The 12,321-nt window shown below is 43.4% G+C and overlaps 1 protein-coding gene across 7 annotated transcripts in view, besides 2 other annotated features; it reads right to left on the bottom strand.

Annotated features, from left to right (window-relative positions):
* Positions 1–12,321, bottom strand: part of KCNAB1 (potassium voltage-gated channel subfamily A regulatory beta subunit 1) — a 420,928-nt gene that overhangs the window by 245,669 nt on the left and 162,938 nt on the right. Inside the window, exon 1 of one of the 7 annotated variants that reach the window (NM_172159.3) lies at positions 1,342–2,483. The exons of 5 other annotated variants lie outside the window; for them this stretch is intronic. In NM_172159.3, coding sequence (NP_751891.1) covers positions 1,342–1,562 — 221 coding nt within the window. In that variant the 5' untranslated portion in view covers positions 1,563–2,483. Of the gene's footprint in view, positions 1–1,341; positions 2,484–12,321 lie in introns of those variants that run through there. One more of the 7 variants, NM_001308222.1, reaches the window with a different exon arrangement.
* Positions 1,815–2,571: an enhancer, noted in NCBI's record as "H3K4me1 hESC enhancer chr3:156008688-156009444 (GRCh37/hg19 assembly coordinates)". NCBI's record gives its function as "activates a minimal SCP1, AML or CMV promoter by ChIP-STARR-seq in primed H9 embryonic stem cells {active_cell/tissue: H9 hESC(primed)}" and the evidence as "EXISTENCE:reporter gene assay evidence [ECO:0000049][PMID:30033119]".
* Positions 8,765–9,348: an enhancer, noted in NCBI's record as "H3K27ac-H3K4me1 hESC enhancer chr3:156001911-156002494 (GRCh37/hg19 assembly coordinates)". NCBI's record gives its function as "activates a minimal SCP1, AML or CMV promoter by ChIP-STARR-seq in primed H9 embryonic stem cells {active_cell/tissue: H9 hESC(primed)}" and the evidence as "EXISTENCE:reporter gene assay evidence [ECO:0000049][PMID:30033119]".

Genomic DNA, 12,321 nt, shown 5'->3' with positions numbered 1-12,321 from the left:
AACAGGTTTAAATGCTTATTTCAGCAACCTCACATGAGAAACACATGTTGCCTATGCATTATTTTCATTAACTTCATCCTAAACTAAAACCTGGTTCCTAACAAAGACAAGAGATAGTTAGATATGGACAATTAACAAAATCATATCTGCAAACTGAAGTAACCAAAGTTTTTTGGAAGATGTGTTGGTAGCTTCTCTCCTCTACATTCACAAACACTTTTAGAAACTAGAAGCACAGTAGTTTTAAAGAAATAAAGTCAGAGGGACTTGGTACAAAGCAAATGTAATGAGGAGGCAGGAGTCACATAATTGAATAATGAAATTTTCTACTTGTCAAATGTAAGTCATGCCCTATTAGAGCAGCCACTATTACCAGGATGATTCCAACTATGGAAAACAACATAGGGGATGAGGAAGCTTTAAAATTTATGAGGAAACCAGTAGAATTGCAACAATTTACATTTTCTCCATATTTCACAAGGTCTACATTTAATTTCAAGCAGTAATTTAGGCTTAAATATGGCTATTCAATCTAATTTACCAATATAGGTGGTTTTTCCTGCAACAAAGCTTCTTTAAAAAGCTTTGTATAGCATTTGTTAACTTGGTCTTTCAAAAGATAAATAAGGCCAGGCGCGGTGGTTTACTCCTGTAATCCCAGCACTTTGGGAGGCCAAGGCCGGCGGATCACTTGAGGTCAGGAGTTCGAGACCAGCCTGGCCAACATGGTGAAAGCTCTTTTCTATTAAAAACATAAAAAATGAGCCGGGTGTGGTGGCAGGTGCCTGTAATTCCAGCTACTCAGGAGGTTAAGGCAGGAGAATCGCTTGAACCCAGGAGGCTATTTCCCAGGCGACAGAGCCCAGATCGCACCACTGCACTCCAGCCTGGGCAACAGAGCGAGACTCTGTCTCAAACAAAACAAACAAAAGATAAATAAGAGAGCAGTACTAGATGAGAAACTATTTCTGATAGTATAATCCCAGAAACTACTGTCTTTATCATAAAATAGAACAAACACATTTGCTACTGAAAAACTATCCTGATCTAAATACCAGTTCCAGCAGTTGTGTTTTTTTCTGGGGACTGGAATGTACATAGTTTCTAAAATGTTCATAGGACTTTAGAATTATACAAAATGGGCCACATTTTTAAAAATCTTTACACACACAACCACCCTGGGTTTATTCATCCCCCTAAAGAGCTATTTTAGAACCACCTGAGAATTCTAAAGTGAGCAACCCACTGATGAGTAAATCACTTTTCAAAACCGATGGACTGTCTCCACTGCACCTGTATAGAACCTGGATACCCCGCACAGAGGGAATCTTACGTGCATACCTATATTTCATGCCAGTCTGCTTTGCGGTGGACTCTTTGAGAGAAATGTGATGCTGAGGCGTGAACGTCCCCAGGCTGCGCGCGATGATAGCGACCGTGCGGAATTTGGCCCGGGCTGCGTTCACCACATTGGGGGCGGTGGAGCTCTGCTTGCTCAGAAGTCGGTCCTCACCATTCCGACTCTTCAAATTGTGCTCTGTGCAGGCTATGGAGACTTGCATTGCTTCCCCAGGCAGCGCACGGTCCCTCTCAGAACCCCAGAACACAGGCAGTCACGAGAGGTTGAGCAGTTGCGGGGATTTCTGCTTTTCTTTTAAGCCCTCCTTGCTCCCCCTTCCTGGGGATGCCGTCAGAGGAGTCCTGGCGGCTGACTTTCGAGCCAAGCCCACAAAGTGGCACAAGGGGCTGCGATGCAGGAAAGAGTCCCCGGGGACCCAGAGAAGTAAACAGACGGCCCCGAAGTTGTCACAGCAGCTGGAGGGAGAATCAGGTTTGCAAATCTTCCCGGGCTGTAATCTCGGCTGATTAAACAGCCAAATCCATGCAGTGGGGGAGGTTTTTACAGAAGCCTAGAGCTGAGCATTCATGGTGACTGCACGCAGCCCTTCGCGGAGCCGGTCCGCGGTGTCTGAATGCGGGCTCGCTTCTGGGCGATGGCTCAAATCAGCGCAGGCTTACCGCAAGATGCGCCGCCAGCATCCCCTGGACCACAGGCAGGATGCTCAACTGGCGCGCGGAGCATCCCAAGAAGCAGCTAATCGCAAGCGGGTCCCCTCGGACTGGTGGTCTCCATCCACTCCGGCTGTCAGCTCCCTCCCGCCTCCGCTCCGGGAGGACGTGGGGGCTCCTCAAGACCCCTCCCCACTCATTCTCGAGCGAAAGCCTGGGTTGCTGAGCCTGCACCGACACGGGTTTGCAGCTGCACGGAGGAGCAGGCAGGTCCCTTTAAGGAGCTCTTTGCCTTTGTGTGCGATGGGAAGGCAAAGATCACTTGCACCAGGCTCTTGCTGTAACAAATCGGGAGGGTTGCTCCATAAAAAGGGGCTCTGCCCAGACTCAGACCAAATCTGCTGCAGCACAACAGTTGGAACTGGGGGAAGGCAGAGAGGGGGTGCTTATGCCGCGGAACACGCCAGTGAATTAACACGTGAATACTCTGTGACTGGCTTGCTGAAACACAGCTTGAAATCCCTGTTATTAGCCTTGTCAGAGTTCCTTTTCTCTCTGCAAGTTATTTCTTAAGCAGATAAGTTTGGTTTCCTGAGATGCCACAGTGCAGACTTTTTGGAATCAACTCTGCTAACTTACTGCAAAATTTATTCTGGCTACCAGAGGAGGGACTGGGATGGGGGAGGGGCAGCAATCCAGCACCACTCAGGAGGGGGATGCACTAGGTGTGCAGCAGGTCCATAGTACCACCCAGTAAGGTCCAGGCATGTGGCTGAAACCACATACACTGCCCACTGATCATCTGTGGCCACCTGTGAGGACAAGCACTATATCCTGTCTCCAGGTCAGGTGGGCAGTAGGACATCCCTGGGGACTCTGAACCCACATGAGGCAGGAATATTTTCTGGTTTGATGTCAGGTGCAAAGCAATTGCTCAATAAATGTGACTGAACCAAACTAAGCATCAGTTGGCTGGTAATTTACTTTCCATTTGAAATGTATGGAAACCAAACCCCTCTCACAGATTTACTTACAATAAAATTATGGCTTCTGCAAAATCAGCTTTCTAAATGTAGTTCCCAACAGATACTGCTGTCAAGCAAAAAGAACCAGTATTTAACGCAACAATATTTCTGAATACCATCACTGTATTAGTCAATGAAGATCAATATGGAGAAAAAAGGAAGCACTGTCCCCCTCCTCAAGGAGCAGGCCATCTGGGAGGGAAGGACAAAATATTCAGCCTTAAAGGGTCTGACTAACAATGTTGGAAGGCATATTATGACATATCTGAATGGATGGCACAGACACTAAGTACACTAGAGAAAGTACACTGGAGAAAGTTGTTCATTTTGATTCATTCCCCACACTTCTACCAAGTCCCTGACTTTGCTTGTTGCTGGGCCACAAAGATGGCTGAAACAGAGGCTGGGCCCTCAAGAAGCTCATGGGTGCCCAGGCGACCCTCCTAGAAGAGTGGGACTTTGCCTGGTACATGAAAAATGGGTTGAATTTGATTAGCAGGAGAGGAAGAAGGCAGTGATCCCAGGGGTTGCCAGGTTTGGACAGGACACACAATCTATCTACGTGATTAAAAAAATAGCTGGTCTGACCATTTCTTCCCAACTAAATTAAACTGCAGGAATAAAATTTTCAAGGAGAATATGTGCCTGTGTTGCATTCTATTCCAAACATGAATTTTAACATTTTATAACCTGCAGATAAGATTTAAATCAGATTATAGAATCTCATCATTCACTCTCCACAACCTTCCCACACTTTACTTTAAAAAATAAACATATTGACTAATGTTCAGTGATTGAGAAGTAATTTTAGAATCAGTGAGGGTTGGGGAAAGGAACAAATAAGTCTGGGACCCCTTCTTGTACTCTCAGCTCTGAGGGAGGAGTACTTGAAGCATGTCTTTACTCCCTGGATAAACAACAGTGGGCAGAGAGGAAGCCAGATCATTAGAACCTTTATTTTTTCACACTCAGCCGGCTCATCAGAGATGATCAATGTGAATTGGGAAAGGAGTCAAAATGAGAAGAGGAAGAAGTGGGAGGAATCAGAAGGAACAGCTCAGAAAAGGAAAAAAATAAAGCAGTCTGGGAGGCGAGACAGAGTGAATGGATAATCATCCGTCTAGAGGGGTCAGGAGCCAGGAACTTCAGTTTGGACACTGGCTGAGCTTGAGGAGATGTGTGGGGGGCTCAGAGATGAGGTGGAGTGCTGTCAGTTCCACAGGGAGGACAGAAGATCTTGAAGGTAGGGAAGGTCTGGATGCTGTTAGCTGAAGTGGCTTTCAGCCTTGCCAAGAACTAGCAGAGCAATTTCTGAAAGCACAACCAACAGCAGAACAGGGAGTAGGTTATTAGAATGAAACATGCAAGGCAGAGTGCCTCTTAGTCACCTTTTTATCCCCCATAGGACCACACAGAGTGCCTTGTGCATAGCAGGCCCTCACTCTATAAATAATTGAGAGAAGGAGATAAGAAAACAAAGAAAGGAAGAGGGAGGAAGAAAGGAAGGAAGGTAGGTGGATGGGAAGATGCCATATTCTTGGATAAACTTGATTCCTTAAAAAAAGAAAGAAAGAAAATCCTGCACGTTCTAGTTTAAGCACAGCCAGCTCACTTGAAAGGAGTGGATAATTGCCCCACATTCATGTCTGCACCTCTTGTGTGTAGATGAGTGTCCCAGCCTTTAGGACATGCCTCAAAGAAAATCAAAGACCTGAGGCCAGAGGATGCTCACAGTGCTAGTCTCTTTCTGGCTGCCCACAGTGCACCTTTTCAGATCTGATACCACATGGGCATTCTGACTGCCAGCCAGCAGATTGGTGGCTTCCCCCAGCCGTGCTCCCCTTCCCAGTGTTAATGGAGCAGTCGGTCTCAGGAGCCCAGAAATTAGATAACACTTGGCTGAGAAAACGCTCATTCCTAATAAGTTTGTGCTAAGAGGCCACATGTCAATTAGACTTGGAATATGTATCTTTTCATTGTCACATCATAAGATTGGGAAGAGTCTTCACTGCTATCATTTCAGGTTTCAGTAAGACCCACAAACATAGATATAGATGTGGGTGTAAATATAGATATAGATATTGTTTTCAACTGGCTTGTGCTCCCTCCAAATTCATGTGTTGAAGCCCTAACCCCCAGTACCTCAGAATGTGATTGTATTTTAAGATAGGACATTAAAGAGGTAACTGAGGTAAAGTGAGGTCATATGGGTGGGCCCTAACCCAATGTGACTGGTGTCCATATAGAAGGAGGAGATTAGGACACAGATATGTGAAGACGATGGGAAGGCACAGGAGAAGACGACTGTCTATAAGCCAAGGACAAAAGCCTCAGAGAAAACCAATGCTGCAAGTACCTTGATCTTGGACTTCTAGCCTCCAGAATTGTGAGGAAATAATTTTCTGTTGTTTAAGCCACCTAGTCTGTGGTTCTTTGTTATAGCAGCCATAACAAATTAATACAGATATAGACACAGTTTGTTTTTACTTTAGTTCTTATATCATTGCTTGCAAGAAACTATTGGAGCTCACTGAAGAAGGTGCCTCTAAAAGTTATTAGATCATGATAACTATCATTATTATTCCACCCTATGCAACCTATATACAAAGTTGTATTTCGAGTTTTTTTTTTTTTTTAAGATGGAGTCTCACTCTGCCACCCAGGCTGTTGGCTCACTGCAACCTCTGCCTCCTGGGTTCAGGCAATTCTCCTGCCTCAGCCTCCTGAGTTGCTGGGATTACAGGTGTATACCATCACGCCTTGTATTTTTAGTAGAGATAGGGTTTCACCATGTTGGCCAGGCTGGTCTCAAACTCCTGACCTGATCTGCCCACCTCGGCCTCCCACAGTACGGGGATTATAGGTGTGAGTCACTATGCCCAGCCTGGAGCTCTTTTTTGGAGCACATTGTATATAGGATGTATAGCGTGAATGATAACGATAGTTGTCATTATTTAATAATAAAGTTCTTGAAAATCACCACTTCTTTTATCAAGAGTCACCATATAGAGGATTTATTACTTCGTAAAACTGATTTCCTCTTGTTTTGTGGACGCCCTGGGGTAGTTTTTTTTTTTTTTTTTTTGATACGGAGGTTGCAACATTGCACGGGGCCAAATAATGACTTACTCCTACACTTTGCCTGAGTCTCAGCTGGTCCCTATTTGTTATGTAACATGTGGAATTCTTTGGCATTAATGTCTCCCATATTGGGTCATGGTGACAGAACTGGTTAGGAACAGATCACAGGCTACATAACTCCTATGCCAGTGCCCTGTCTCCTCATGCTCATCTTAGAGTCTTCATGGTAACTCAAAGGACTTTAGGGTGTGCAGTCAGTTGGAGTTGGGTGTGAATCCCAGCTCTACTCTGCCCCGCCTTCCCGTGTGCCATTTAGCAGGATGCTTAACCTCCCTAAGCCTCAGTATCCTCAGAGAGATAAAATGGTGCAAGAACGTGGTTCTCTGGGAAAGGTGTTATCATTATCAACCCCATTCTACAAATGAAGAAACATGAGACTCAGAGAAGTTAAATAACTTGCCTAAAGTGACACAGGCACACTACAATTTAACTTGAGGCAGCCTACCTCCAGAGACTTGGTTCTTACCCACTGTGCATAGTGATCCCCACTGCAAGAACTTCCTTATGAGAGGGGCTTTAAATCATGTCACTTTATGAATATAGTTTAAAAGAAACCCCGATATTTTTATAAGTGATAGAAATAATTTCCATTTAAAAAGACTAAAGATTTTAGAACAACTAAATCACCTATGCTTTTGAGTATGTCTTTTACCAACATTTTCAAATACTTCACGATAATTTATTCCTGTTGCTTAAAAAAATTTTTTTCCTATCACCTGGCAAGTTATTGATTGATTCAATTTGTTGCCAGTAAAGTCAGAACCAAACATTTTTTGCTGGGTCCACTCAGAATTTACGGTTTATATTCCATTGGAAACCACAGCCAACAGGGGACAGAAAACACTCAATTATGCAGCCAGGCAAAATTGGGTTTATCCAAAACAGAAAAGAATGCTAATATTAGAAGAATTTTAAACATGTGAGTATACAGATGGCAAGCCACTTTTTGTGCCTATCATTTGTGATTAAAAGAATTTCTAGGATGCAAGTTTGCTATTCATCAGAAATTCTTAAAACATGGGTTTGAAGAGCAATTTATTATATTCTGAGAAATTGAACCAGCTATAAAAATTAGTATGGGCCCACATTTGCATGAGCACAGCATTTTGAATAACAGGCAAAGTAAAATGGAGAAGCCATATTGGAAATATCAAGGCTCTGCTGAATAGAACAAACTTCCAGATGTCTACCCTCCTACTTCCCTGGAAAAACAGGCTCACCAGAGAACCTCCACTGAGAAACTCTGAAGGCAGGCTTAATACAGATTTTCTCACACTACCAGCCACATGTCCAGGACCATAGCATAATTAATCAAAGGATAGGTGTGCTTTCCAATTAACATTTAAACTATATCTACAGCCACTAATGATTATTTCCTGAATTTGAACACTCTGATATAGCAGACCTCTGATATTTACATAACACTTTATATGCTCAAGGCAAGGTGCCATAGTGTTACAGGAAGCAAGTGTGAAAAATAGGAAATTCAGACCGGGTGCGGTGGCTCATACCTATAATCACAACACTTTGGGAGGCCAAGGCTTAGGTGGATTGACTGAGCTCAGGAGTTGGAGACCAGCCTGGGCAACATGGTGAAACCCTGTCTCTATCAAAAAATACAAAAAATTAGCTGGGCATGATGGCCCCTACTTGTGGTCCCAGGCACCCAGGAGGCTGAGGTGGGAGGATCACTTGAGCCTGTGAGGCAGAGGTTGCAGTGAGCCAAGAGTCACGCCACTGCACTCAACCTAGTGACAAAGTGAGACCCCCCCATCCCCCCCACCAAAAAAAGAAATTCACAATTCAGATTATTTTGTTCAGGCCTCTTCATGGTAGTTAACTTCTCATAAGCTTGTCTGGAACCTGGACATAGCACTGAGAGGAGACAGGGACACATGGTCAGTTTATTTTTTACAACTGTCATTAGTTTTTCCTAAATTATTAGTCATTAGTATAATTTTTGCCATTGTCTTATGTTAGAACAAGATGGCATAAATATTGGCCATGTCTTTGGATAAGAGATTTATCTAAAGACCTTAACTCACAGAGAATTTGTTTTCAAAGATAAGTGGAATTATTATATTTCAACTACTGTAAAATAATATCAACCCGAGTACACATTTATTTTATATATCACTAATATTAAAAATGTGGTCACTTATGACATAATGCTTTCTTATCCCTTGTTTATTTTCAATTAATCAAAAGAATCTTTTTAAACTCACGCTGCCTCCCTCCAGTTTCACTCTTGTACATATATAAAAAGAAAATACGACAGAAAAAAATTGGTTAAAGTATTCCCCGGGGGAGGAGCCAAGATGGCCGAATAGGAACAGCTCTGGTCTACAGCTCCCAGCAAGAGCGACGAAGACGGGTGATTTCTGCATTTCCATCTGAGGTACCGGGTTCATCTCACTAGGGAGTGCCAGACTGTGGGCGCAGGTCAGTGGGTGCGCGCATCGTGCGCGAGCCGAAGCAGGGTGAGGCATTGCCTCACTTGGGAAGCACAAGGGGTCAGGGAGTTCCCTTTCTGAGTCAAAGAAAGGGGTGACGGACGCACCTGGAAAATCGGGTCACTCCCACCCGAATACTGCACTTTTCCGACGGGCTTAAAAAACGGCGCATCACGAGACTATATCCCACACCTGGCTCCGAGGGTCCTATGCCCACGGAGTCTCGCTGATTGCTAGCACAGCAGTCTGAGATCAAACTGCAAGGCAGCAGCGAGGCTGGGGGAGGGGAGCCCGCCATTGCCCAGGCTTGATTAGGTAAACAAAGCAGCCTGGAAGCTCAAACTGGGTGGAGCCCACCACAGCTCAAGGAGGCCTGCCTGCCTCTGTAGGCTCCACCTCTGGGGGCAGGACACAGACAAACAAAAAGACAGCAGTAACTTCTGCAGACTTACATGTCCCTGTCTGACAGCTTTGAAGAGAGCAGTGGTTCTCCGAGCACGCAGCTGGAGATCTGAGAACGGGCAGACTGCCTCCTCAAGTGGGTCCCTGACCCCTGACCCCTGAGCAGCCTAACTGGAAGGCACCCCCCAGCAGGGGCACACTGACACCTCACACGGCAGGGTACTCCAACAGACCTGCAGCTGAGGGTCCTGTCTGTTAGAAGGAAAACTAACAAACAGAAAGGACACCCACACCAAAAACCCATCTGTACATCACCATCATCAAAGACCAAAAGTAGATAAAAACCACAAAGATGGGGAAAAAACAGAACAGAAAAACTGGAAACTCTAAAAAGCAGAGCACCTCTCCTCCTCCAAAGGAATGCAGTTCCTCACCAGCAACGGAACAAAGCTGGATGGAGAATGACTTTGACGAGCTGAGAGAAGAAGGCTTCAGACGATCAAATTACTCTGAGCTACGGGAGGACATTCAAACCAAAGGCAAAGAAGTTGAAAACTTTGAAAAAAATTTAGAAGAATGTATAACTAGAATAAACAATACAGAGAAGTGCTTAAAGGAGCTGATGGAGCTGAAAACCAAGGCTCCAGAACTACGTGAAGAATGCAGAAGCCTCAGGAGCCAATGCGATCAACTGGAAGAAAGGGTATCAGCGATAGAAGATGAAATGAATGAAATGAAGCGAGAGGGGAAGTCTAGAGAAAAAAGAATAAAAAGAAATGAGCAAAGCCTCCAAGAAATATGGGACTATGTGAAAAGACCAAATCTACGTCTGATTGGTGTACCTGAAAGTGATGGGGAGAATGGAACCAACTTGGAAAACACTCTGCAGGATATTATCCAGGAGAACTTCCCCAATCTAGCAAGGCAGGCCAACGTTCAGATTCAGGAAATACAGAGAACGCCACAAAGATACTCCTCGAGAAGAGCAACTCCAAGACACATAATTGTCAGATTCACCAAAGTTGAAATGAAGGAAAAAATGTTAAGGGCAGCCAGAGAGAAGGGTCGGGTTACCCTCAAAGGGAAGCCCATCAGACTAACAGCAGATCTCTCAGCAGAAACCCTACAAGCCAGAAGAGAGTGGGGGCCAATATTCAACACTCTTAAAGAAAAGAATTTTCAACCCAGAATTTCATATCCAGCCAAACTAAGCTTCATAAGTGAAGGAGAAATAAAATACTTTACAGACAAGCAAATGCTGAGAGATTTTGTCACCACCAGGCCTGCCTTACAAGAGCTCCTGAAGGAAGCACTAAACATGGAAAGGAACAACCAGTACCAGCCGCTGCAAAATCATGCCAAAATGTAAAGACCATCAAGACTAGGAAGAAACTGCATCAACTAACGAGCAAAATAACCAGCTAACATCATAATGACAGGATCAAATTCACACATAACAATATTAACTTTAAATGTAAATGGACTAAATGCTCCAATTAAAAGACACAGACTGGCAAATTGGATAAAGAGTCAAGACCCTCAGTGTGCTGTATTCAGGAAACCCATCTCACGTGCAGAGACACACATAGGCTCAAAATAAAAGGATGGAGGAAGATCTACCAAGCAAATGGAAAACAAAAAAAGGCAGGGGTTGCAATCCTAGTCTCTGATAAAACAGACTTTAAACCAACAAAGATCAAAAGAGACAAAGAAGGCCATTACATAATGGTAAAGGGATCAATTCAACAAGAAGAGCTAACTATCCTAAATATATATGCACCCAATACAGGAGCACCAAGATTCATAAAGCAAGTCCTGAGTGACCTACAAAGAGACTTAGACTCCCACACATTAATAATGGGAGACTTTAACACCCCACTGTCAACATTAGACAGATCAACGAGACAGAAAGTCAACAAGGATACCCAGGAATTGAACTCAGCTCTGTACCAAGCAGACCTAACAGACATCTACAGAACTCTCCACCCCAAATCAACAGAATATACATTTTTTTCAGCACCACACCACACCTATTCCAAAATTGACCACATACTTGGAAGTAAAGCTCTCCTCAGCAAATGTAAAAGAACAGAAATTATAACAAACTATCTCTCAGACCATAGTGCAATCAAACTAGAACTCAGGATTAAGAATCTCACTCAAAACCGCTCAACTGCATGGAAACTGAACAACCTGCTCCTGAATGACTACTGGGTACATAACGAAATGAAGGCAGAAATAAAGATGTTCTTTGAAACCAACGAGAACAAAGACACAACATACCAGAATCTCTGGGACGCATTCAAAGCAGTGTGTAGAGGGAAATTTATAGCACTAAATGCCCACAAGAGAAAGCAGGAAAGATCCAAAATTGATACCCTAACATCACAATTGAAAGAACTAGAAAAGCAAGAGCAAACACATTCAAAAGCTAGCAGAAAGCAAGAAATAACTAAAATCAGAGCAGAACTGAAGGAAATAGAGACACAAAAAACCCTTCAAAAAATTAATGAATCCAGGAGCTGGTTTTTTGAAAGGATCAACAAAATTGATAGACCGCTAGCAAGACTAATAAAGAAAAAAAGAGAGAAGAATCAAATAGACGCAATAAAAAATGATAAAGGGGATATCACCACCGATCCCACAGAAATACAAACTACCATCAGGGAATACTACAAACACCTCTACGCAAATAAACTAGAAAATCTAGAAGAAATGGATAAATTCCTGGACACATACACTCTCCCAAGACTAAACCAGGAAGAAGTTGAATCTCTGAATAGCCCAATAACAGGAGCTGAAATTGTGGCAATAATCAATAGCTTACCAATCAAAAAGAGTCCAGGACCAGATGGACTCACAGCCGAATTCTACCAGAGATACAAGGAGGAATTGGTACCATTCCTTCTGAAACTATTCCAATCAATAGAAAAAGAGGGAATCCTCCCTAACTCATTTTATGAGGCCAGCATCATTCTGATACCAAAGCCAGGCAGAGACACAACAAAAAAAGAGAATTTTAGACCAATATCCTTGATGAACATTGATGCAAAAATCCTCAATAAAATACTGGCAAACCGAATCCAGCAGCACATCAAAAAGCTTATCCACCATGATCAAGTGGGCTTTATCCCTGGGATGCAAGGCTGGTTCAATGTACGCAAATCAATAAATGTAATCCAGCATATAAACAGAGCCAAAGACAAAAACCACATGATTATCTCAATAGATGCAGAAAAAGCCTTTGACAAAATTCAACAACCCTTCATGCTAAAAACTCTCAATAAATT

The sequence above is a fragment of the Homo sapiens genome, chromosome 3 (assembly GCF_000001405.40).
Source record: "Homo sapiens chromosome 3, GRCh38.p14 Primary Assembly".
NCBI classification, from domain to species: Eukaryota; Metazoa; Chordata; class Mammalia; order Primates; family Hominidae; genus Homo; species Homo sapiens.
The sequence above is the reverse complement of the archived record's forward strand: the minus strand, read 5'-3'. Positions and strand labels throughout refer to the sequence as shown.